Below are 27,305 nucleotides of genomic sequence, written 5' to 3' on the forward strand. Positions count from 1 at the left end.
ATATTAAGGATATCATCAGTTGTGTCACACACCTCATATTGATTCCAGTGTGATTGATTCAGATGAAAAATGGCTCTGTCGGCAGTGTGTTTTTGCAACAACAACAAAGGTATATTTTAAGTGTTTTGGGCTAAAGCTCTGATGGAATTTGTAAGACATTATCAACATAATGATTGTGTACACTGAAAGTTTGTTGGAATGAAATGAGCAATGAATGCTGGGTAGAAAGAGGTGCTATTTATTTGACTAATGATGCTTAAGTGACTTTTTAATGATGCTTTCACTTATTTGATGATAGTAATACGGGAATTGGTGCAGTAATTTGAAAGAAGAAAAGAAAAATAGAGATTATTATTAATCAGACAGTTTGTGATATGGTAAAAGTTTGGAAAGGAAATTTCTCCAGAAGTGTCAGAGTCGTTTTTAAAGTATAGAATTGTGTTTAAAATTTTAGCCTTCACTCTTTCACATTTTTTTCCCTCTAATGTAGAGGGGTGGTGCACTTAAGAAAGGACCAAATGCCAAAGCATTGCAAGTCATGAAGCAGACATTACCCTATAGTGTGGCAGACCTTGAATGGGATGCAGGTCATAAAACCAATGTCCAGCAGTGTTACTGCTATTGTGGAGGCCCTGGAGAGTAAGTAAATACAGTTATGTAATTCCCTTTAAGTAATTTTTATTTACTTATCTATTTTTCTTGATTATGGTGTGTGAGTGATGGTGAATTGCAACTGCATGAACACATCAGTGAAGAAAACCAGGGGGAAAATCTATTATTTTCATAAAAAAATAATTTTCATCTAGTTTTTGATCATATCCACACATTAAAATATTTGTATAAGTCTTATATTCTGGAAATTTAAAGTGAATTATAAATATTGTCATAAAATTAACTATTGAGGGAAAACATTTACTGCAGGGGCCCAGTATCAGTAGTTTCATTGGATGTCATATTTAATGTGATTGACCATTTAGAAACTGGTATATTTAATATTATAATTTAAATGGGAGAGTAAAAGACAAGTTTTTTAAGACATAAAATCAACATGGAACTTTTTCACAGATAGATTACTGCTTTCTTCTACGTATTTTCATTTCTTTCTTAAAGTGATAGGGCACAGATTGTAGTGCAGTGACATGATCATAGCTCACTGCAGCACTGAACTTCTGGGCTCAAGTTATCCTCCTGTCTCAGCCTCCGAAGTAGCTAGGACCACAGACACGTGCCACTACACCTGGCTAATTTTAAAAAGTATTTTTTTTTTTGTAAAGACAGGTTCTTGCTACCTTGGCCTCCCAAAGCTGGCTGGGTTTACAGGCCTGAGCCATGCTGGCCTGGAGTAGCATTTTTATTTTCTTCCAGAACTTTTTCTTTGCATATACAGTTTGGCCAGCTGTTTGGTGCAAGAGGCCTAGCTTTTGGCCTATCTTGGCTTTTGACATACCTTCCTAACGTTTGATTTAAATTTAGAGACTTGTGACTCTTCCTTTCATTTGAACACTTAGAGGCCATTGTAAGATTTTTTTTTTTTTTTTTTTTGAGACAGGTTCTTGCTCTGTTGCCTCGGCTGGAGTGCAGTGGCATGGTTATAGCTCACTCCAGCATTGAACTGGGCTCAAGCAATCCTCCCATCTCAGCCTCCTGAGTAGGTAGGACCACAGGCATGCGCCACCACACCCTGCTAGTTTTTTAAGTTTTTTTGTGGAAATGGAGTCTTGCTATTTGTCCACGTTGGTCTCCAACTCTTGGCCTCAAGTGATTCTCCTGCTTTGGCCTCCCAAAGTGCTGGAAATACAAGCATGATCACCACGCCTGGCCCCCACTGTAAGATTATTAATTAGCCTAATTTCAATATTGTGTCTCAGGGAATAGGAAGCTTGAGGAGAGGGAGAGGGATGGGGACTGGCTGGTTGATAGTAGTCAGAACACATGCAACATTTAGTGATTAAGTTTGCCATCTTAGGTGGGCACGGTTTTTGGTGGCCCAAAATAGTTATAGTAGTAACATCAAAGATCACTGATCACCATGAAAGATACAATATTAATAATAATGAAAAAGTTTGAAATATTATGGGAATTTCCAAAATGTGACACAGAGACATAAGGTGAGCACATGAACCTAGAAAAATAGTGCTAATAGACTGAATCAAGGTATAGCTCTGTTTGGAAATGGTGCCTTTTATTATTTTCCGATAAAGATAACCGTATCAAAGTTTGGAAATGGTGCCTTTTATTATTTTCAAATAAAGATAACCATATCAAAACCACATACTAGCTGGGTGTGGTGGTGTGTACCTGTACTGCCAGATACTTGGGAGGCTGAGGTGGGAGGATCCTTTGAACCCTGAAGTCCAGCTTGGTCAATGTAGCAATGTAGCCCTGTCTCTTAAAACAAACCCAAAATCCATGTGCTAACTGAAAAGAGAAGATATATTTCTTAGATGAAGATTCAATTTTAGCATCTTTAGCTTTCTCAAACAGATCTATAGACCATACATTGAAATATAGCTAAACCTGTCAAAAAGCCTTTATACCTGGTAGAGTCTTAGATTAGATTTATGATAATGTTAAGCAGGTTTATTAAATCGTTATATTCTTTTTATTATAGCTGACAAGAATAATAGAAACACAGTAAAGATATGAAGTGGAATGTTTATAATCTGAAAGCTGCCTAAGGCCATTTGATATTTGGGGCAAACAACAGTACCTCTGAATCTGACCTCTCCTGGGGTTTAGAGAGTTGATGTGAAAAAAAGCCCAGAGGCCTGGCATGGTGGCTCTCGCATGTGATCCCAGCATTTTGGGAGGCCGAGGACAGAGGATCACCTGGGCCCAGGAATTGGAGACCAGCTCTGGCAACACAGGGAGACCTCAGTTTTACTTAAAAAAAAAATTTGCCTAGCTTGGTGGTGCATGCCTGTGGTCCTAGCTACTTGGGAGGCTGAGGTGGGAGGGTCACTTGAACTGGGAGGTTGAGGCTGCATGAGCCATGGTCATGCTGCTGCACTCCAGCCTGGACAACATAGCAATACTTGCCTCTTTAAAAAAAAATAGCCTAGGCTTGTGTTTTAACAGAGCTCATTTGACTAGTGTAGGAGCCAGGCATTTTTGACTAGAAGTAGTAGTGTATCTTTCAAGAGCTTATAAAATTTCATGAATAAAAGAGAGAAGAGGGATGAAATAGCTGATACTATAAGCCTTTTTGGGAAAGGAAATATTTACAGTAAGTATAGTAGAAATGTGATGCTTTAATTAGAACAGTATTGTGGATTAGGCCACTTTTTTTTTTTTTTTTTTTAAAGAAATGAACCTTTCCCTTAAGACAGGAATTTTAGTGTTAACTTTTTTGTTTTTTTTAATAGCTGGTATTTGAAGATGCTACAGTGCTGCAAATGTAAGCAGTGGTTTCATGAGGCTTGTGTGCAATGCCTTCAAAAGCCAATGCTATTTGGAGACAGGTGAGAAGGGCATTTGAACTTTACTGGCTGATTTTTGTCACTTTTTAATTGTGGTTATATTTGTGATTTCAGATTTCCTAAAGATAGTTTCAACAGTGATTTGGAAAGGGGTTGTCTCAGAGGGAAAATATTAAATAATATACTTAAAATATACGTAATTTTTGTGCTTTTGGATTTTATTCCAGAATGCTTTTAAGTATTGTCAGTGATTACATTTGCTCCTATTGACCCATAGTACTCTAAAGTATTCTCATTGGTACCTTCCTTTAAAGAACCTCAAAGGGATAGTATTAGAATTGGAAAAGACCACAGGGCCTTGTTAAAGACACAACTATACTTTAGATATGAAAAATTTGTAAAAGCAGACTTAATGTACTTTCTATATTAGAAGAATGCAGGGTAGCACAGTGAGCTCCAGGAACAAAAAGCTAGACCACTAAGTTTGACATCTGAAAACCTGGTTTTAAAAATCTTGGCTTATGCCACTTAATTTTCTTTCTGACCTTAGGGAAGTTCACTTGTCTCTTTCGGGCTTATTATGTTATTTTGAGCGTTGAATTAAACTATGTATGTGGGGGCAGCCATCACAATTCCTGGCACACACAAGCGATTAGTAAACTATAAGTACGTGTGAGTCTGTGTGTGAACTTTGAAGGTCTCCAATGGTTAAAAACAAAGATCCTTTCTCTTCACATATGAACTGTTTCATTATTTGTTATTGGAAAAGAACTTCCTTCAATCACAGAAAGCATTATAATTTAAATTATATTTTGTTTTGAGTATCAGTCTTTATATCAGCTGTAGGTTATTCACTTGGTGAATATTAGCTATAATTGTTAGTTTATCTCTGATGACTCAGTATAAAACTTTTTCTTTTTTTTTTTTTTCTTAGATTTTATACGTTTATATGCTCTGTCTGCAGTTCTGGACCAGAATACCTCAAACGTCTACCATTACAGTGGTAAGTGTGGACCTTTCTGTTAAAAGAAAGAAAAGCCATTTTCTTAAACCTACAAGTTGAAACTTTCTATATACATTTACTTGGCTTAAGTAAAAATAGGTTATTTATGCTTGGCTTTATTTCTTTTATTTATCCTCATGCCTGATGTCATCTTCACTAAGTAACATCCACTTGTATTGCTAAATTAATAAGGCTGTTCAGTGTTGAATGTTATAAATGAAACTTTCAGATATCCTTTAGACCTAAATTCTTACTCATATTTCTAGTTCTTTTGAACATTCAGAATACCATACAGTAGAAGAGAGATAGGTATAACAAATATGCTAATTTCTGCTTCAATGTAGTAATTCTTGTGTGTTGGAAGTGTGATGAATTTTAGAGGTTTACTAATAAAATGCTTACAGTAAGTACTTACAAATCTTTGTTGTATTTTACATATTTTATCAACAGATAGGATTTAACCCATGAATCAAATAGTTTGGTTAAGTATGGTATATTCTGTAGCTTATATCCGGAAGTGAAAACACAAAAATCTTGATTTTAAGTTATATTTTTTTAAAGCCAGACCCTCTTTGAATGCACTTGAAGAAGTAATTTGTGGCCAGGTGCGGTGGCTTTCGCCTGTAATCCCAGCACTTTGGGAGGCCGAGGTGGGTGGATCTCCTGAGGTCTGGAGTTTAAGACCAGCCTGGCCAACACGGTGAAACCACGTTTCTACTAAAAATACAAAAAAATTTAGCCTAGCGTGGTGGTGGGCGCCTGTAATCCCAGCTACTCGGGAGGCTGAGGGAGGCTGAGGCAGGAGAATCGCTTGAACCCACGGGGCGGAAGTTGCAGTGAGCTGACGTTGTGCCATTGTACTACTCCAGCCTGGGCAATCAGCGAAACTCTGTCTCCAAGAAAAAAAAAAAAAAAAAAAAGAAGTAATTCATATATCTTCTAGTTTATAGTTGCTATTCAGAATAAGTGAATGTTTAGTCACTATTTTCTAGTTATTTTTATGTGTAGTGATTTATTGTATTGTGAATATGACTATCCACCTAAATATTTCTCTTTGCATTTTAATTACTGTTTTATAAGGAAACCGTGATTTTTTAACAGTAACCAAAAACATTGTTTTGTGTATTTGATTATTTTCGGATTCCAGGGTAGATATAGCACACCTATGCCTTTACAACCTAAGTGTTATTCATAAGAAGAAATACTTTGATTCTGAACTTGAGCTTATGACATACATTAATGAAAACTGGGATAGATTGCACCCTGGAGAGGTAGGTGGTCTGAGAACTAACTTCAGTAGCTACTTGATGTCTTTTTTGTTTTGTTTTGTTTTTCAAAAAACAACTGAGACACATGTATAAGTCAGACAACTAAAATAGAATTTTATTTTTAGTTCTGGGGACAAATAAGTTTGGTATGGATATCAGGACCAGCCTTCTCATCCTCCTGTGTGTTTGTTGCCTGTTGACTCTGGAAATTTGTAGAAGGAGGAGGTATATTATTTGATTCTTTCATTTTCTGAAGTGAAAGTCATTGTAGTTAAAGATAGAAGGGAGGGAGAAATCTTTAGTATTGGGTATCTTACTTGTAGTTCAACCTCCTTTTCTTCTAAGTTTTCTATAAACTTAGAGATATAACCAACATTCTTCCTTCCTCTCTTGTTGGTACTCCTTTATATATTTCTGACTTGTAGGAATGGTGGGATCTAATAATATTGTTAGAAAAATGAGTTGTAGAGTGAAGCTGCCTGAATAGAAAATTATCCCCTCTCATTCTGACATCTCATTTTGCTTCTCATTTTTGAAGTGTAACTACCTATGCTGGTTTACAGTCTTTTTTTAAATGAATTTAAAAGTAATGTGTGTTCATTAAAGAAAATTTTGAAACTAATGAATAGCAGAAAGAGAAAAGTAACTAGAATAAGTTTAATAGTTAGGGACCTTATTTTTAGCTTTTATTTAGAATTACTAAAGTACATATATTAACTACTTTTAGTTAAAACTAAAAAATTTGTTTTATAATATGGAATTTGATATGTATATCTTAGTCATGCTTTTTTTTAGGTAAAAATTTTGCACACTGATTTGAAGTTTAGGAAGAATTTCTTGATTTGTAGCTTTGAGACACGAAGGACATCCTATTTCATATCAAATAGGATATCAAAGGGCTTTTTGGGGGTTTATGGGATATCAGGGAGAACATAATGCATGATTTAGTTTGTAGTTTTAAAATCTAGGATATTATTGAAATTCAATTGATGAATTTTTGAATTCATCATTTGAGTTTTGAATGTTAGATATTGGATTATCATACAAATTTTTGTTAAGTTTTCTGTTAAATACTTTTTTTTTAGATGAAGTCTGAGAGAAAGTGAGTGATGTGTACATTTGATTTTTTTTTTTTTTTTTTTTTTTTTTGGAGACGGAGTCTTGCTCTGTCACCCAGGCTGGAGTGCAATGGCGTGATCTCAGCTCACCGCAACCTCCGCCTCCCAGGCTCAAGCCATTCTCCTGCCTTAGCCTCCTAAGTAGCTGGGATTACAGGCACCTGCCACCATACCCAGCTAATTTTTGTATTTTTAGTAGAGATGGAGTTTTGCCATGTTGGCCAGGCTGGTCTTGAACTCCTGACCTTAAGTGATCCGCCCACCTTGGCCTCCCAAAGTGCTGAGATTACAGGCATGAGCCACTGGGCATGGCCACATTTGATAAATTTTAATAAACTGATTAGTAATCAGAAAGTAAGGGGTAAGGCATTAGAAGTGGCTATAGTGGTTTTTATAATTATCTTAATATTTAATACTATAATACATTTGTTTAAAAATTCTTTCTAGCCATTATTCTTTTAGCACTTCATATGCAGATACATATGTATACCTGTTAGTACATTGTCTGCATTACATGATGAAATTCTGCAGTAGTAACTTGATGTAGACATTGGGTATATATAATATAAAAACTCAAGTTGTGTTTATTTCAAATGCTGTCCTTTTTAATTAAAATTTAAATTTTAGTGTTTAGATTTTATTTGAGAGGCTGGAAATATAAGAAAATGAAAATCACATTTAGTATATTTTTCAAGAAAAGAGTTCAGTTTATGAATTTTGGGTGTCCCAGCTCCAACTGAACTTCTGAAACATACTAGAAAAAATTTGCTTCAGTAATAATACATGTTTTTATTTCTGTAGCCTATGAGGTAATGTCTTAGAAAAAAAGAAAAAGTTTTGCAAATTATTTCCACTTTTTGACCATCAAATTTATTACTAAAACAAGAGACTAATAATTTCTTACTGTTCTTTCTGTGGATTAAAATAAGAAAATATTCAGACTTCTTAGATGAGACATCTCATTCACAGACTTTGGTAACTGACAGATTGAAGTTAAGGTTTCTAATTTTCTGTATTTTATATTTTTGTACTGTAATTATAATTGGATTTTAGGGTGAGTTTTTAATAATAAAGAGATGATAAAATTTATGCTAGTTTATCATGTTTATTCAGTGTTTTTCATTTAGATTACTTTCAAATGTTTGTAGTGATCAATAAAAAGGTAACATAAATAATGGGTCATTCCAAATTATTTGAATAGAAAATTTTTGATAAACTAAAAATGAATTACAAATTGAATTTTGTCACTAATCCAAATTTAGGTTAACAAAAATTTACTTTTGTTTATATTCTTGTTCCAAATCTTATAAAATGCCATTAATTATTTTCAAAACATGGGAAGTAGTGTATGCTAAATATAATGTTTATATTTTATAATTGAGTACCTTGGAGTACTTTAGTCATTTTGAACATCAGCTCTTTCTTTTTTTTTTTTTTTTTTTTTAAGAGACAGGACAGGAGAGTCTCTCTCTCTCTTTTTTTTTTTTTAAGAGACCCTTGCTCAGGCTGGAGTGCAATGGTACAGTCATACATAGCTCACTGAAGCCTTGAACTCCTGAGGTCAAGTTATCTTCCTGCCTCAGCAATTCTTGTTATACGTAATATAGACTAAAGCGCCTGCTCTAGAAATTTATCTTCAAAAATGAAACAAAATAGAACAAAGGTTGTGATTTTAGTTTATCTAAAATGTGGAGTTTCCTTCCTCTTGCCACCAGATCAGAGAAAAAATTTTGTAATGATATAAGTTGATTGAGATTTTTTATGGCATTTTGCGTAGGAATATATATTGCACAACTAGGCAGTTATCCACATTTATTATCCCTGAACTTTGAATTATAATTTTACATATGATGAGGCTGGCTAAACTTTAATGGTATTTTTTATTTTAGAAACCTAGTAAATACATATTTACATTTGTAATTACTTGCTGTAATCTTACATTGAATCAGTTGTATTCTGTTTCGTGTATTGTGTCCCCCCCCCCTTTTTTTAATAAAGGAAGCACTGTGACTGTTTTTATTTTAAAGACTTTTTTTTTTTTTTTAAGAGCAGATTTAGGTTGTCCCCTTCTGCCACACATGCATTGCCTCCTCCATTATCAACATCCCTCCACCATAATGGTAGATAGTTATAATTGATGAAGCTACATCAATACATCATTATCATCCAAAGCTGTGACTTCTTTTAGTAATAAAAAGAAGTTTCAAAAATATTACACTTTTGGAGATAATATCCTGTCATACTGAAAAGCCAAAATGTAACATTCATGTATCATATTTTTTTCTTAGTTGAATACGGTATAGGATTGTTATGAAGAGAAGATAAAACTTTTGAATCATTTTAGAAGATAATGGTAGTATTACATTGTTTCCTTATGTAGTTTTTGTACTTCTTTTGGCTTGGTACCTAATGATTATCATATAGATTGAGTGTAGCTGTTTGAGGAACTACTATGTTTTGGATTATTTTCTTTGAGATAGTAAAAATACTTAACATTTGAAACCATGATAAACTTTCTTAAGGTTTTTATGTAAAATGAAGTCTCATCTGTTGTATCAGATTGTTTTGGGGAGTTTAAAATGAGATATTAGTACTTTTTGTAATCGCTTATTGTCATTTGTGTTTGATTCTTAAAGTTATTTGAAATCCTAGTTCTGTAATAACCACTCTTCTGTGGTCTTAAATTTTAGAAACCCTGAGGTTGATACCAGAATAATTTATGGAGTGCTACTTCACTTCTGAGGGAGGTAGGGAGAAAAGCAAAGATGAAACTCAAGAAATACTGTGGTAGAAATGATACTAGAGGAAAATATACAATAGAGGTGGAATAATATTTATAAGTGGAAATTATAAGAAATCTGAACAAAAATTCCTTGGGGCTTAGAGTGTTATAATTAGCATATAGTATGGTGGTTAGCAACAAATTACCTAAGTTGTTGGGATACTTAAGCCCAGGTGGCTTGGAACTTAATATTGGTAGTTGAAAGGAAGAGTTATACTGTAAGTATTAGTGTGAGATTAGTATCTGGAGAGGGGGGAGCAAAAAAAAAATATTCTTTTGGAGATTTATATAATAAACCTCATGGTCAGATGGAAGGTGTAGAATATGATGCTCTTCTAATGTAGATTATCTGATTTACACTATAATGGTTGTACTTTTAGTTTGCAAAACACTGAAAGAGGGAAGTCTTTGGCACTTTTATGGTAGCTAAAATATGCAGTTCTATGCAGAGTAGTCATGGAGTGCTGAAGGAACTTAGTAGATAAAATTTCTGAGAAACGGTAGGGAGTAAATACCAAAAGAAAGTAGAGTTCATTGCGATCGTCAGAAAGTAAAAAAGTGGGTTTTAGAAATTAGGAAGTTAGTTTTGCTGTTGACTCAGCAAATTTTCAGATTTTTCAGATATATGGTTTGTGAAGATTTAAAAGGCAATAAGGAAAATCTCTTATTAGAATAAGTCATGTATACCCTTGGTTTCTTTTTTGATATGATTAGCAACGCTGGTTTGTCAGTGTTTTTTTTTTTTTTTTTTTTTATGGTTAGCAAACACTGGTTTGGGCATGATATAGACATAGTATAACTTGATTTCAGATGAGATATTAAAATGTGAACTGGTTAAAATGAAAATTAAATGGATTTGTAACTAATGGAAAAACAGTAACAAAGTCGGTGCTTTGGAAACATTCTTGAGGGAGACTCTTATGGAGGGCCATAGGGGTTCTGTCTTTGTCTCTACCTTCAATTCTAGAAGGATGACAGAATCAAGAGAAAAGATCTGGAACATTGAGATGAAAACAAGATCAATTAACAGCAGTTATAAAATTCTGCTTTAGCCATAAACACAAACAGTACATGGGTATGATAGGGGATACTCAATTTGATAGCAGTTCATCTGATAAGATTTCACAGTTGGGGTGGGGAGGGGGGACCAGGAAGAAGACAGAGTTAGTCAGAAGCTTAATATGAAGTAACCATGTGATATAGCTATTAAACATTTTAACCTAATCTTATAATTAGACATAATAATTGCATTCAGATATTTGAAGAGCTGTCTTGTAAAAGAAGGAATGAAAGAGCTCTGGGGAGGAAGATTTTGCCTACTTATGGAATGGGCTTTTTTAGTTGGTGCCTTATCAGCTTTTATCAGTGGCACTAATTAAGCCAAGGTCGAATAAATATCTGTACTGTAAAAGAGACTGCAATATTGGTGGAAGGCTGAATTGGATCTAGGGTCTCATTCAAGCTTTAAAGTCTGATTCTATTATTCCTCCTTTAAAATTGAAATTCTCTATCATTAGACCCTTCAGAAATTACAGTAGGAGTTGGTGGTTTGATATAGGGGAATGAGTACCTAACTCGTATTTAACATGTTTTTTTTTTTTAGCACTCAGCATATTGGCACAGAGTGGGCTCTCAGTGAGTGTAGAATGAATGGGCTTATCACTTGAGTTCAGGTTCTAGCTCTCTCACCAACTAGACAGGTGAATTTGAGCAGTTTTAACCTTTATATTTGTTAACTCGTGTAAAATAGAATTGGAGTAGATGACTTACAAGTTTTTTCTAGCTCCAGCATTCTATTTGGCAGATTTGTTTTCTCTCTCACTTAAAGCAGTTCTGAGGCTTGGGAGTTTCAACTGGTAAAGAACATACTGGCTGTAATTTTGAAAGTCAACTGTGATATTTTGGAAGCAGCTTTTTTTTTTTTAAGGTGTTTGTAGCATTAATTCAGGATGGTCCTTTTGTAATTTAAGATTTCTTTGCTAATATGCCTTAGTCAAGAAGAGGCAGAAAGGTCTCTGAGAAAAAGCCCTATTGGAACAAAATAGGGTTTTTTTCTAGAATTAAATATTTAGATTTTAAAACAGTTTGTTATGATGAAAAATTATTGAGCCATTTAGAGCTGGCTAAAGTCTATAATTGTTATGAAAAGATCTCTCAATTTTACAGTATTCTAAAAAATTATAGAGATTATCGGTTTATGCTTAATGTTAGAGGTACTGGAAAATGGTATGTTTCTTACTACTTTTTGTACTTCCTATTGATATCTGTTAGGAACTTTTATAGTAAATATTAAAATAATTCTAATGTATTATTTCCCTAGGTTAAAGAATTTTTGAAAAATTTAATAACTAATAATACAGTCCCATTTTTGTGGTGTTTTACAGTTTGTAGTTCCTTCATAAACATATCGTTGGATTAATGTAATGAACAAGTAACTAGTGTAGGATTTATACTTCATTTTTTATAAGTGAGAAAATAAGCCTTGAGAGGTTAAATGGCCCTAGGTCACATAATAGTCAGTGAGGACTTGGAATTAGAACTTAGATCTTCTGACTACCAATCAGTACACTTTTCCTCTGCATCACATTGCCTCTATCTAGCACCTGTATATTACTAATTGATGAAATTGTAGTGCGTTAAATTGTTTCTTGATACTTCACAGCTGGCAGACACACCAAAATCTGAAAGATATGAGCATGTTCTGGAGGCATTAAATGATTACAAGACCATGTAAGTTGATTTATTTTATGTATCCCTATGAGGGAGACATTTAGTAAGTATAAGGAATAATGGCATTGTTTAAGAATTGTGGGATTGATGTACAGAAGAAGTCTATACCATTTTAAACTTTATAATGTCCTATTCTATTTTAGTTAGATTAAAGCAGTGATTCTCAAGGATTGGAGGAGGGAGGAGTAATCCTTCTCCTGGGAATGGTGGGTGGGAGACATATCGGTATCTCTGGGAGAATTTAGCCTGTTCCATTGAAAAAGCATATTCAGTAATAACTTCCTTCTATAATGTAATGTACTGAAAGTAAAATAAAATCTTGTTAGCTGGTGGGAATATTCAAAAGATAGAGAATATTGTAGGGAATACGGGTTTTTAAAAAGATTGAGATCTGTGGTTATAATAGTTAACACCATTAGTTACAGAAAATAATATTTCTAGCTGAGTAGTCTAAGATAATTAAGTGATATTATTTGATATATTCTCATACAGATCTACAGGTCTTCCCCCTACCTTATTTTTACTTTTTTTTTAACTCACCACTATACTAACAAGGATTCCCTTCTTTTTAAAACAATGTATCTACATTTCTTAGAAACATTTTTAAATGCAACAAATTTTATAAATGTATGTGTTGACTCCAGTGAAATTTTATATTATAAAATTTTTGTTGGCAATAAGTTGGTGTTTTGAAATTGATAGTATTTCTTCATTAAATAATGTAATTACCAGTGGCTGGATCTTTACACCAGCTCAAAAAGCCATGAGGTACCTGATATGACCTTGAAGTATAATAAAAAGGAAAAAAGACTGTAAAAAAGTCATAAGGTACCTGAGCAGTTATTGTGCTGGTAAAAATGTTTCATGGGACAGTGAATTCTGAATTTCAGTTTAGGGTACCAGAAATATATCTGTTCCTGTTATGGTAGTAATGAGGGATCCCCTTTCTTAAACCTGCAAAAAAGTAGAACATTTTGGTTGGGCGTGGTGGCTCACACCTGTAATCCCAGCACTTTGGGAAGCCGAGGCAGGCAGATCACCTGGGGTCAGGAGTTTGAGACCAGCCTGGCCAACATGGTGAAACCCTGTCTCTACTAAAAATACAAAAATAGCCAGGCATGTTGGTGCACACCTGTATTCCCAGCTACTTAGGAGGCTGAAGCAGGAGAATCGCTTGAACCCGGGAGGTAGAAGTTGCAGTGAGCCGAATTGAGCCACTGCACTCTAGCCTGGGTGACAGAGCGAGACTCTGTCTCAAAAAAAAAAAAAAAAAAATTAAAAAGAGAGGGAGAACATTCTAAACAACTGATGGAGGTTCTTGTGGCCAGGCAAGTTTCAGTAGAGCTGAGGTAGATGGAGTTGCTTGGGAATAAGGACCATAGAGACTAAAAGAAAGGTCTAAGGAGCATATTTTGCAGAGGCCCAAGTCCATAATAAACTGGAATAACCCTTCTTTGCCCCAGGTTATTTCCATTTCCAGATCCGGCACTCTAGATACTCCTTTTATTTTCTGGGCCTCTAGGATTTATCTCCTGCTTTCTTTTTCAATGCTGTCACCTATTATTTCTGACTAAGGTTTTTCTCTTTATAAATCCACTCTGAGATGGAATTCTTTTTTCCCTAAATCCCTTTTGAAATATTTCTAACAGATGACACTAAATATGGGAAAGCATATTGGGACCAAAAATATACCATTCTTTGTTCTTCTTTCTTCCTTTAAAAAGTTAGTTGCCATGTTTAAAAAGAAAAGTGGACATGTGCTCTTCTCCTTTCTGGTCCTATCCCTTCCTCCCCATCATATCCTACTGTAGACTGGCTCTGGGGCAGATAAAAATCAAGGAAAGCAAGGGGAAGTGAATTTTTGTAGTATTGGGTGGGCTTTCAAGTATAAGGGCCTTATATATGAAAGTTAAGTTAGGGTCTACTATGTATATGTGTTCAGTTTTTAAAATTTTAGTTAATTTTTTTAAAAATTTAGGTTTATGTCTGGGAAAGAAATAAAGAAGAAGAAGCATTTGTTTGGGTTGCGAATTCGTGTTCCTCCTGTGCCACCAAATGTGGCTTTCAAAGCAGAGAAAGAACCTGAAGGAACATCTCATGAATTTAAAATTAAAGGCAGAAAGGCATCCAAACCTATATCTGATTCAAGGTAAAAGTTGATCTGTGGCTTAGTTTTTCTCTTTAGCTTATTTGTAACTAAAAATGTATGTTATTTAGTCTCCTTAGTATATTTGAAAGTACAAGTGGCAGTTACTCTGATTTTTTTTTTTTTTTTTTTTGGTCTATCATATCTTGCTTAGACAAGGTATGAAGAGTTGATGCCAGATGCTTGTTTATTTATTTTAGGACTTTGGCCTTCCAGAAATAGACTCTATTGATTTTGTTAGCAAACAGCTTAAGAGTACTAGCCTGTTTGTTTGTTCACTTTTCATTGATTGATTGATTGATTGATTCATTCATTCAGCACAGTTTTCAAGTGCCTTATTATCTAAGTTTTCAAGTGCCTTATTATCTAAGTGCTAGGCAGTACAATGACAGATAGATTTTTCTTCTGCCCTGATGGGGTTTACAAAGGTGATAAGTAAAATAGTTACAGATTATGCTAGTGCCATGTAGGATAGCATACTGTTTTAGACTTTACTGTGGATAGAGATGGGGCCTTTGTACTTTAACAATGTGGCTTAAGGAAGGACTATTTAAGATAATATTTAAATTAAGACTTAAAGAATGAGAATGTTATAACAATGTGAAAAACAAAGGGAAAAACTACTCCAGCTAGCAGAAACAGCAAGTGCAAAGGCTTTGAAACATATTCTAAGAACTCACAGAAGACTGGTGTGGTATAAATGAGGATGAGAGAGTAGCATCAGGTATTGGAAAGATTAGGTGGGGCTTGATCCTGTGTAGGGTCTTGTAGGTCTTACAAGGAATTTGGGTTGTTTTCTAAGAATAATGGGGAGGCATGTAAGGGATTTAATTATCTTTTAGAAATACTTGGCCGGGTGCACTGGCTCACACCTGTAATCCTAGCACTTTGGGAGGCCGAGGCAGGTGGATCACCTGAGGTCGGGAGTTTGAGACCAGCCTTACCAATATGGTGAAGCCCATCTCTACTAAAATTACAAAAATTAGCCGGGCATGGTGGCTTTTGCCTGTAGTCCCAGCTACTTGGGAGGCTGAGGCAGGAGAATCGCTTGAATCCAGGAGGCGGAGGTTGCAGTGAGCCGAGATCGTGCCACTGCACTCCAGCCTGGGCAACAGAGCGAGACTCTGTCTCAAAAAAAAAAAATATTGTTTTGGATGCTGTTTTGAGAATGGATAGTATAGAGGTAAGAATAAAAGCAGGAGAAAATTAACACTCAATTGTCTAGGTGAGAGATAGATGATATGAGGGCTTGTGCAGAGGTAGGTGGTAACACTCAAATGGAGAGAAAACAGATATGAGGTCTTTATTGGAGGTAGAATTAATTGGATTTGCTAATGAATTAAATTTCTGAAAATAAGGAATCAATTAAATAATGCCCAGATTTCTGGCCTGAGCAACTGGTGGGTGGTTAATCAAGATCTGGAAGAACAGATTTTGGTATGGTGAATGAAGCATTCTTCTGTTTCATATTCATTGAATTTGAGATTCTTATGAGGGACAAACACACACACACACACACACACACCCTCATACACACAGGATGATGTGAAATACAGGCAATTGGATGTGTAATTCAGGAGCTCATAGGAGAGGTCTGGGCAGGTGATACAAATTTGGAATCTGATTGATAAAAGCTATGAGAATGAGTGAAATTACCAAGGGAGCAAGTAGAGAGAGAAGAGAGGGTGGTCTGGGATCATGTCCTGATATCATTTATAAATTTGGAAGAGGTGAAATAAGCAAGGAGACTAAAAAAGAATGATCAGTGAGATGGGAGGAAACCAGGAAGTTTGATGTCATGACAACCAAAAGAAAGGTAGTGTTTCAAGAGAGATAGGTATATTAAAGTGTATTGAATGCTAGTGAGAGGTAGATTAAAATGAAAGAAAAATATTTATTGCATAAGGTATCATTTTGTTATTAGTGACCTTGATAAAAGGAATTTCTTTGAAGTGGTACAGATAGAAACCAGATAGGACTGGGTGAAAGTATGACTGAACCCAGCATTGCCAAATTTACGTGTCAAACTGGGCTTCTCCTGCGTATCAGGGACACAGGCAGATTCAAAATAATAACAGTAGTAAAGGAAAGGAGGAAAATAGGAAACTATCTTTAAGGATCCTGAATGAGAGGGGAGAAAATGGAAAGGGTATATGTCATCAACACCTAGAAGCTTTCCTATGTAGGGAGGCCGACAAATGGAATGGCAGCTGAAGAGGGGGATAGGACTAGTCAAATGATGGTTTTTTAAAATAGATGGGAGATAGTTGGAACCTGTTTTTGTGTGTAAGTAGGAATGATCCAGTGGAGAAGAGGAAATTGGTATAGGAGAGTAGAAGCCAAAAGAGAAGGGATGTAGAGCCTGAATGTGGGACTGGCCTTTTCTAGAAGGAGAAGCATCCTTCTGTTGAAATGGGGTGAAAGAGAAGATGGGTACAGATGCCAGTTCTGTTGTAGATTGGGCAGTTGGAAATTGACCGAAGTTCTTGCCTGGTAGCCTCCATTTTCTCGATGAAATATAAGGTAAAGATAGCTGAGAGACTTGTACAGAGAGGGGAATTTAAGGGTCAATTAAGGGTATGGAATAGTCATCTTGGAGATAAGGAAATTGACTGAAGTTCTTGCCTGGTAGCCTCCATTTTCTCGATGAAATATAAGGTAAAGATAGCTGAGAGGCTTGTACAGAGAGGGGAATTTAAGGGTCAGTTAAAGGTATGGAATAGTCATCTTGGAGATAAGGAAAATGTCATTACAAAGCCTTGACAATGAGTCCAGTTATATGAAGTTTGTAAGAAATTAGCTACTAATTAAGTTTTCTTTGAATGAAGGAAAGAATGCTTATTCTATCACTTTCAGATTTTGTCACTCAGATCCTTTGCTAGCAGTTGCCCATATTATGAATCAGAAAAAAAAATTCCACAAGCTTTTTCATTTCTATCATGATTGTGATAGGATATTCCCTTTGTGGTAGCTATCAGGTCATCTGATGCCACCAGATAAGGATTCAGCTGCTTTCTTTAAAGGCATCCTCAGTTCCTTCTGGACCTTGTGTATAAGTTGTTCCTTTTAGTTTGAGATTACTTTCTTTAGTCCAGGAGTCCTTTATAAATATTATGTTGATCATTTTACAAAAGAAATGGATATCCCATCCATCTTATTCTTGAGACTTTTGATTATAGCGTCTGGTTCTACTTTGTCCTTCTAGTTCCCCTACTTTCTCCTTCCTCATACTTCCACCTTTATTCCCTGACCTTTTTTGGCATCTGGAGGGATAAGTTTTTTTCCTACTTTCTCCATTCATCTCTTTCTAGGCTATTGTATAGTGTTCTTTTTTCTCTCCTTAATTGAAGTCTCCTGGACAATTTCCTCATAGCCCTCACTCCATTTTATTAGCTTGGCTTGTATACACATTTGTCACTTTCTAACTATATTGTGAACTCTTTAGCACAGGGAACACCTTTGTATCCATATTATCTAATATCATCTTTATATGGTAGCTATTGCTGAGTAAATGAAATAGATATTCTTTCTATATATATATTTTCTTTTTTTCTATAATTAGTGTCTTTGCCTATTGCACTTTTTTCCTTCCTATTGCTTGGTATTTGGCTTTATGTTTAAAAAATGGTTTTCTAGGTCTTTCTGATTTTTCCTTTTGAATGACTCCCTGAGAATATGAAGGATTTCTTACTCCTTTCTCCTTTACATTCTGCCACTCTGGGCTTCATTCTCTTTCTGATAGTGTCATTCAAGAATCTACATATATATCTAAAGGCAGCCTTTATGACTACTACAATGTTAACATAGATATTTCCTGACTCCATGAAGTTAACTGCTAAATTCATAGTCATTTTTAGTAGTAAATCCTTGAAACATCCTCCAAGTTGTAACCACCTAAAATTAAACTATATAATTGAGCTTTTAGGAGTTTTGAAATCTTCCATCCAGTATAATTGTCTGGTTTTTGTTGTTGTTTTTAAATCTTTAAGTGGTATATATTGTTCAGAATTATATTAAAGAGGACTTTCTTTAAACCTTTCATAATGTAAATATCTTTAAAGTCAAGAAATATTTATTTGGATTAGAATATATTATCTGTGCACTTGACTAAACTTGTGGATTCAACTAATATTTACTTTTTATTACCATTAATATAAAATAATAAAATATATGTATATGTGTCTAGTTACATACATAGAGTCAATGTCTTTGTTTTCTTTATGCAGAGATTAAATGCATAATGGTTTTCCATTTCAGGGAAGTAAGCAATGGCATAGAAAAAAAAGGAAAGAAAAAATCTGTAGGTCGTCCACCTGGCCCATATACAAGAAAAATGATTCAAAAAACTGCTGAGCCACTTTTGGTAAGAGGATATGTTGGTATATGTTCTCAAGAAGAAGGATGCATGAAATAACTGAGAAGCTAGTATTTTTTTCAGCTTACTTTAGAGACATGCTTTAAGTATATATTTTTATTTTCCAGGATAAGGAATCAATTTCAGAGAATCCTACTTTGGATTTACCTTGTTCTATAGGGTAAATAGAAAGTTATTTTCTCCCTTTCTAGGTTTTGTCTTTTGAGTAGATATTAATATTTGTTTGTTATATAATATAGTCGTTACACAATTTAAATTCTTTTGTCTCAGGAGAACTGAGGGAACTGCACATTCATCCAATACCTCAGATGTGGATTTCACGGGTGCTTCCAGTGCAAAAGAAACTACCTCGTCTAGCATTTCCAGGCATTATGGGTAGATATTTTACATTCTTATTTTTTTTACTTTTTTTACTCTAGATTTCTTTTCTTTGTAAAGTGTTGATTGAATAATTTTTTAGCAATTGAAAGTGATGTAAGTTGTGTCTATCAGCTTTTTGAGAGGTAATCCATATGTAGATCCCAATAGTTGTTAATATTCATTTGAAATATTTTTGCTTTCTAGAGTACAAATGTATTTTTCATGTTTGTGTGGAAATTTGCTGTGTACACAGAGAAAAAGTATACCATTGTTTAGAAGCTGTGCTCGTTAGGCTTTTTAATGCCTCTGCTACACAAGTGTTCTTTGCTTTAGGAAGATATGATTTTTTTTTTTCTTTTTAAGAGACAGATTCTCACTCTGTTGCCCAGGCTAGAGTGCGGTGGCACAATCATGGCTCATTGCAGCCTCAAACTCCTGGCTTCAAACAATCCTCCCATGTCGGCCTCTCTAGTGGCTGGGACTACAGATTGTGCCACCACACCTAAGTAATGCTTTTTTATTTTTTGTAGAGATGGTTTTGCTAATTTGCCCAGGCTGGTCTTGAACTCCCGATCTCAAGTGATCCTCCTGTGTTGGCCTTCTCAAGTGCTGGGATTACACGCCTGAGCCACTACAGCTGGCCAAGATTTGATTAAAAAAAAAAAAAAAAATCAGACACCTAAATCCTTTTGTCCATAAAATGATTTTAAACTTAAGATTTTCATCAATAGCAGACTCCCCTCTGATATCTTATTTAATCCAGCCCTTCAGAAGGACAACGTTTTTGTTTATTGTTTATTTTTTTTTGAGATGGAGTCTCGCTCTGTCACCCAGGCTGGAGTACAGTGGCATGATATCGACTCACTGCAACCTCCGCCTCCTGGATTCAAGCAATTCTGGCACCTCAGCCTCTCATGTAGCTGGGATTTACAGGCGTGCGCCACCATGCCCAGCTAACTTTTTGTATTTTTAATAGAGATGGGGTTTCACCATGTTGGCCAGGCAGGTCTTGAACTCCTAATCTCAAGTGATCCACCTGCCTCGGCCTCCCAAAGTGCCGGGATTACAGGCGTGAGCCACTTTGCCTGGCCAGGACAACTTTTCTCTAAAGCACATCATGTCAGGTATGAAAAGGTTAATCTATTTGGGGTCAGAGCTACTATTTTCAAGTTTTATACTTCATTCTGTTTAAATTTTGTTCATAATTCGAAAACTGCTGTTATAAATTATGCAAAATTCTACATTAAATGCTTAAAGTGTAACCCATTTATTAATGAATTCTGAATAATCGACTTTTTTGGGGCCTCTTACTAGATACTCTGCTAAGCTTTTTACAAATATTGTCTTATTTAATTCTTAAAACAATTTTTTGGCTGGGTGTGGTGGCTTATGCCTATAATCCCAGCACTTTGGGAGGCCAAGGTGGGAAGATTGCTTGAGGCAAGAGTTTGAGATGAGACCCCATCCCTACAAAAGAAAAAAATTATCTGGGCGTGGTATTGGTGTCTGTAGTCCTAGATAATCAGGAAGCTGAGGCGGAGGATTACTTGAGCCCAGGAGGTCAGGGCTCCTGTGAGCCATGATTGTGCCACTGCACTCCAGCCTGGGCAACAGAGTGAGACCTTGTCTCAAACAAACAAAAGAGAACAATTTTTTGAGTTGTGTAAGTCCTGTTGTTCTCATTTTACAGATGAGGAAAGTGAGACTTAGGGGATTTTAAGTAACAAGCCCAACATTGCATGTTTAGCAAGTATAACAGAGCTGGGTTGTTAACTTATACAGTATGACTGTAGGTCTTTCAATTTAGTTGTTGTACTATATTCTCCTTTTATTATAAAATCATAAAATAATTGAATTTCTGTGCTGAAAAGGACCTCACACATTATCCAGTCTAACCCCTTCACTCATTAAGTTCATGAACATAGAGATTGAGATTTGAATTTGGCCAAGTAATAGAGTTAGGGATAGACCCAGGATACTCTGACTGCTAGTTTGTGCTTATTCTGATTCTGGTGTATTACTTCACTAGGCCTAGAACTGGTAATAAGAGAACCTCTATTCTAGTTCCACTCTTTAAGGACATGGAGCAGTGTCATAGATGTAGTTTGTGCTCATTAATTATTTGTTCTAATGAACAAATGAATGAGCTCTTTTAAATGATGTGATTATTGGCAATACCTGATTTATGAGTAGGGCCTCTTCGTAAGAATTTTCCTTGTTGGCCTCCTAAGTAAAAAAATTACCCTAAACTTACTAGTAGTTAAGGAAGAAAAGCTCCACAAAGTTCAGCTCCAAGAACGTGACAAAATCTAAAGTAATGAGCCCAAGTGATAGTCCATTTATATAGCATTTATTGTTTGGGTTTGGCTCATTTTTATATCATCAAGGATATATGGTATAGTAGAGTAATCCAGAAAAGAGAACATATTGTATGGGCATAGGATGCTAAAAAAGCTCAGTAGACAATTCTGGCCTTCTCTGTTACATAGATTATCTGACTCCAGAAAAAGAACGCGTACAGGAAGATCTTGGCCTGCTGCAATACCACATTTGCGGAGAAGAAGAGGTCGTCTTCCAAGAAGAGCACTCCAGACTCAGAACTCAGAAATTGTAAAAGATGATGAAGGCAAAGAAGATTATCAGTTTGATGAACTCAACACAGAGATTCTGAATAACTTAGCAGATCAGGAGTTACAACTCAATCATCTAAAGAACTCCATTACCAGTTATTTTGGTGCTGCAGGTAGAATAGCATGTGGCGAAAAATACCGAGTTTTGGCACGTCGGGTGACACTTGATGGAAAGGTGCAGTATCTTGTGGAATGGGAAGGAGCAACTGCATCCTGACTGTAGGACTGAACATTATGTTCACTGCACTCTGATTTTCTGTAGGTACAGTTCAAAGCCCTAAAGGAGTCTGGCTTTTACTATCTTTCTTAAAAAAAAAAAAAAGTCAAAAAAATTCAAAAAAGGGGATGATACTAGCCTTAACATGTACCTGTCAATGTTATGGATATTGTCATAAAAAGGTATCTTTTAAAAATCAGAACAGAGACTTAATTTTTTAAATCTTAAGATTTGTAGAATGTTTCTAGGATAGGATATTAAAAATGATTGAAACCCATGCATGGTGTTAGACAATTTTTCTAATTATTCCATTGAGTCAGTTTTTTGTGATTAGTGATTATCAGAGCAAACATCATGTAGATAGCACAAGTATTTGGAGAAACGTTGTTTGTTTTGTTACCAAAATGTTGGAAAAATTTATTTCAATACCTTTTAGATTTCATAAAGTGCAGTGTATATAATGCCTACTGAAAGACTGTAAAATATTGAAATTTTCTTTCAAGCAAAGTGTAAAAAAATATATTGAGCCTGTAAATTGCTCTGTGACTAGACTTCATTGTCGTCTTAATATATTCTTGCATGTGCATATATATACACACGTGTATATATATGTGTGTGATTATGTGACCTATGCAATACAAATTATGGGAATGGGCAGCTTTGGAGTATATATCCCATAATTCTTTTTTCAGGAATAGTTGCAGTATTTACACAGCAGCATTTCTTCTCAGGCTTTTATTGGGTGCTGTTGCTTGCTATGTATGAAGAGAAATGTGTCAGACAAGTTTAGTGTGTTCTGAAGAAGGGTGTGAACAACAGTGTTCATGGGCTTTTAGAATGCTTTTCACTTTTAGTCCTTGTAACTCAGCTGTTCAGTACCTAAAACAAATTCAAATAATATGAACATTATCTCCTACTAGAAGTAACGTTTTCAAGTTTTCATGGCACATTATGATTGTAAATGTCTCTCATTTTTAACAGTAAGTCTATAGGAGTCCCGTGAAGATTCCTGAAATGTCTGTAGTAACTGTTAGTCATGTTTGAATAAGTGTAGTATGAACAAAGTATTTTATTGCACAGGGTTAACAAACAGTATGTTGCCAGCTGAGGCTACTGCTGTTTTATTACAACATTACCTCTTGTTTTTATAAAGTGTACCAAGATTTAAATTGATAACTTTATTTTACTTGTAAAAAAAAAGTTTCTTTTATCACCAGTGTTACAGTTGTCTTCTGTTTCTTTTTGTTTTGTTTTATTTGTTTTCCTTTTTAGCCAAAGAGTGAACAGAAGATTTTCTTATTTTGGTGGCTATTCATTTTACTTTTAAAAGTGATTGGTGGATTTTAGACTAATTATGGGGGAATTTGCCACCAAAATAAAAAATATGTAAAGTGTAGTGATTACAGAGTGGTTAAAATGTGGGTTAGTACTTATTTATTCCATTAATTGATTATTTGACTGTTTATAAAGAAAGTTGCTTTATTTCTTTAAACATCTTCAAAAGATGATCCTTTCTTGTCACATTATAGCCAAAAGAAGCAGAGAACTTCATTGTCTGCATTTGGTTCCTGGTTGGCCAGGTATAAATGAGCTTTACAAAAGTGCAAATTAAAAACTGTTACTTCTGTTTACCTCCACCAAAACTTGATTTTCCCCTAGCTATTAATTTAAGGTTGCCTTTCCTGCAGCTGCAATATTTTGAATAACACACAGAGTTTGTGTTGATTTTTGAATGTTTGTTTATATCTAGGGGTAATGAAAAATGTAAATCCCGTGTATCCTTATTCACTCCACCTGTATCATATTATTTCATTTTCCCCAAAGTCCTTTAATTCTAACTGAACACCAGCAGTATTTTTAGAAATTTTTCTTTAACATACTTGGAAGATGATTTATCCAGCTGAACTGTCTTTAGACGTAATTATTGTGAATGTCTGTTTTATTTTCTCATGGTGGTTCACATGGCTCTGATGTTCAGTTTGTATTTTTGGAATTGCTTTACTTAGAAATTAAAACAGACCAACATTAAATGTGTGTATTTTTTAAAGAGCTAATGAGTTTTGCTTCTGTATTTGCTTGAAAATACACACTAGTGCAGTAGTTGACTGCTTTTATTTAGCTAGGGTGGTAAGGATTTTCTAATTCCACTGCTAGTATGTTCACTTGAATTAATCTTTATAAAACTTTGCTTTCATTTTCTTCATCCCTCTTATAATATTAATAACTATCACATGTTCATCTTAAGTGGTCTTAAAGTACGTTTAGTGAGCATGTACACTTTATATTTGAAAGACAATATATCTCTATTGTGTCCCCAAACTTTAAAAAATTCAGACTTAATTTTCCAACTATGTTTGCTTCTTACATAGAATTGTTAGGGTTCATATAAAAGGATTTCCTGGGCCAGGTGCGGTGGCTCACACCTGTAATCCCAGCACTTAGGGAGGCCGAGGCGGGTGGAACATGAGATCAGGAGATTGAGACCATCCTGGCTAACACAGTGAAACCCCGTCTCTACTAAAAATGCAAAAAAATTAGCCTGGTGTGGTGGCAGGCGCTTGTAGTCCCAGCCACTCGGGAGGCTGAGGCCGGAGAATGGCGTGAACCCTGGAGGTGGAGCTTGCAGTGAAGCAGTGAGCCAAGATCGCACCACTGCACTCCAGCCTGGGCAACAGAGTGAGACTCCGTCTCAAAAAAAAAAAAAAAAAAAGGATTTCCTGTACTTTTAAAATAAGTTTTGCCCCTAGGCATATAAAAGATGTGGAAACAATATACCTTACTCATTGTAATTCCATTTTTATTCAAAACAAATACATTTTTATAAATATTCTGCTACTAAGTGATAAATGTGTATTCCTAGACCCTTAGACCACCAAACTAGAGCCAGAATATAAGCTATCAGAGTTACTCTATAAATTCTAATATAGGGGTGATGAAGCCAGCTCTTGCTACATATATTCTTTACTAAATATTTAACAGAATTGAATGTTCACTGATGTGTTAGAGTTGAAGGTGCCCCCGGCTTTTTTTTTTTTTTATTTGCAAGATATGTCCAAGTATGCATGGTTGTTTTCTATAATGTGTATGTTGAGTATATCTCTATTATCTGTGTTGGGGGTAGAACTAACTGTTTTGGGCCACTTTATTGAGTTTCTACTAGGTACTATTAAATTTTGGTTGGAATATGATCTGACTTAGGCAGTTCTACCAGACTGTTTTACATTGTGGTTCTAGAGTTGTTTGAATGAGGATGTGATGACAAAGAAGATGCTCATGCAGCGTTGGGAAACAGTTTTGTTTTTTTGTTTTTTTAAGCCCTGTTTTTGTGGGGAGATTTTTCTTAGTTATATTTGAGTACCTCAATGAATGTACACATCACAGTCCCCTTTGGTTTTTTTTCTGTGGCAGTTGATCAGTCATGTTCAGGAAAATAAAAACTGGACAGTGAAATGTAAGGTAAGAACTTTATCTGATTATGGATTCTTTTCTAATTGGCAGCAGTTAGAAAACCAGACGTCTGTCTGATACACATTTGGAGATGGAAGAAGCTATGAAAGCAAACTAATAGGTTCTCTGTAAAACAAGTAGATGGGCTCCAGGTACAATATTTGTAACTTTTACAAAAATGTCTTGGAGTAATAGCTACATTGAAATATTATGCTTTTTTCCTCTTCCCTCCTCTCATTTCTGCTCAACAAAATCCCTCTTTGCTAGCTCCCCTGGCGGTTTTCTCTTTGTTGGAGATGATAAGTGTATAAACTGTATTCTTAGTAACTTTTTATTTGTCCTGCATCTTCAGAAAATGTGATGTGTCATTCAAGATACCTTTCCCTGGATTTAGGCAAGGAAACAAACAAACCATTTTAACTTTCACAGATGATAAAATATATTTTTGGATAAAAATATATCCTGCTCGGAAATCAGTCTGTTTTCTATTCTTTGTATTTACTAAAAGGCGTCTAATCCATTTTTTCTCCTAACCCTATGACATGTATTCCCAGTGTGGGTGATCACATCCATAAATGGGCAAAAATTTGTTTGGGGAGGGGACAAAAAACCTTAGATAATGGTCCGTGGCCCTCCAAAGTCCAACCCATCCAACAAAAATCTTTATGTCTTAGTATTGCTCTCACTGAATTTTCTTAGGTGTCACACAGGCAGCTTTGACATTCAGTTAATGGAACTATATATAAAATATGTATAATATCAGTGCTACAAAACCACGGCAAATGGATGACTGTGCTTTGAAAGACTGCTTGATCTTTAAAACGTATTGTGAGAGGTGGTTTGCACATGCCTGTTGGCTGTCACTGGCACCCTTGTGGATATTTATGTTTGATCCTCAGTGCTTTTATGTATGGCCTGGGCTTGAATAATTAAATAAAATTAGTTTGTATTTTATTATTTTAATTCTAACCAAGGTTATTTACCCCATCATTAAATGTCAAATGCTAAAAAGAAAAAATGTTGACAATATCTGAATGAATCTCTAGCAGCTAGTTAAAAGTAATTTTTTCATATCAAGCAGAAGTTAAAAGTAAGCTCACCAATAATAGTTTAAGAAATTAATTGGCCAGGCACAGTGGCTCATATTTGTAATCCCAGCACTTTGGGAGGCCAAAGTGGGAGGATCACTTGAAACCAAGAGTTCAAGACTATCCTGGACAACATAGTGAGACTCTGTTTCTACAAAACAGTTTTCAAATTAGCCAGGCATGGTGGTGCATGCCTGTAGTCCTAGCTACTTGGGAAGCTAAGGCGGGAGGATTGCTTGAGCCCAGGAGTTCAAGGCTGCAGCAAGCTATGATCATGCTATTGCATTCCAGCCTGGGTGACAGAGTGAGACCCTGTCTCTGAAAAAAATTAAAAAAAAAAAAGAAATTAATTTTTTTCAAATGTTTTACTTTTGCTAGAAAATAGGATTTTTGAATGATTTTTTTAAAATTGGTTGCATTGCTTTTCTGAATTTATATGAGTTGCTAATTTACATGTGTAATTTGATACATTATAAAATGTTATAAATTTAAGTCAAGTAAGTTAATAGCATCCTGGATTAGTAATGTATCCTTAGTGACAGATTATAATTAGTGTTTTAATCAATAAGTGGCACTTGAATATGTTGTCATTAATATTGTAAAATGTAAGGGTTTTTTTTTGTATACAGAATTTGGGATGACAATAAGCCGATAAGAGATTTTGTGAGAGGTATCCTTGAATATTAGCTTTTTTGCTTGAGGAGACATGGAAGCTTAAGGAA

The 27,305-nt window shown here is 35.1% G+C and overlaps 1 protein-coding gene across 4 annotated transcripts in view, besides 3 other annotated features; it reads left to right on the plus strand.

Moving 5' to 3' along the window:
- MTF2 (metal response element binding transcription factor 2) overlaps nt 1-24,097 on the plus strand; it is a 59,794-nt gene extending 35,697 nt beyond the window's left edge. For 3 of the 4 annotated variants that reach the window (NM_007358.4, NM_001164391.2, NM_001164393.2), the window contains 11 exons: nt 9-109; nt 491-639; nt 3,366-3,461; nt 4,354-4,422; nt 5,570-5,693; nt 12,253-12,320; nt 14,299-14,469; nt 18,724-18,829; nt 18,949-19,001; nt 19,112-19,216; nt 21,691-24,097. In NM_007358.4, the coding sequence (NP_031384.1) occupies nt 9-109; nt 491-639; nt 3,366-3,461; nt 4,354-4,422; nt 5,570-5,693; nt 12,253-12,320; nt 14,299-14,469; nt 18,724-18,829; nt 18,949-19,001; nt 19,112-19,216; nt 21,691-22,048 (1,400 nt within the window). In that variant the 3' untranslated portion in view covers nt 22,049-24,097. The remainder of the gene's footprint in view (nt 1-8; nt 110-490; nt 640-3,365; nt 3,462-4,353; nt 4,423-5,569; nt 5,694-12,252; nt 12,321-14,298; nt 14,470-18,723; nt 18,830-18,948; nt 19,002-19,111; nt 19,217-21,690) is intronic. The other variant, NM_001164392.2, reaches the window with a different exon arrangement.
- Nucleotides 14,553-14,847: an enhancer, noted in NCBI's record as "tiled region #11191; HepG2 Activating DNase matched - State 9:DNaseU". NCBI's record gives its function as "activates a minimal TATA promoter and a strong SV40 promoter by Sharpr-MPRA in HepG2 cells {active_cell/tissue: HepG2}" and the evidence as "EXISTENCE:reporter gene assay evidence [ECO:0000049][PMID:27701403]".
- Nucleotides 14,553-14,960: a biological region, named in NCBI's record as "Sharpr-MPRA regulatory region 11191".
- Nucleotides 14,760-14,960: a silencer, noted in NCBI's record as "peak319 fragment used in MPRA reporter construct". NCBI's record gives its function as "represses an SCP1 promoter by STARR-seq MPRAs in K562 erythroleukemia cells {active_cell/tissue: K562}" and the evidence as "EXISTENCE:reporter gene assay evidence [ECO:0000049][PMID:32103011]".
- Nucleotides 24,098-27,305: the final 3,208 nt, after the last annotated feature.

The sequence above is a fragment of the Homo sapiens genome, chromosome 1 (genome assembly GCF_000001405.40).
Source record: "Homo sapiens chromosome 1, GRCh38.p14 Primary Assembly".
Lineage (NCBI taxonomy): Eukaryota > Metazoa > Chordata > Mammalia > Primates > Hominidae > Homo > Homo sapiens.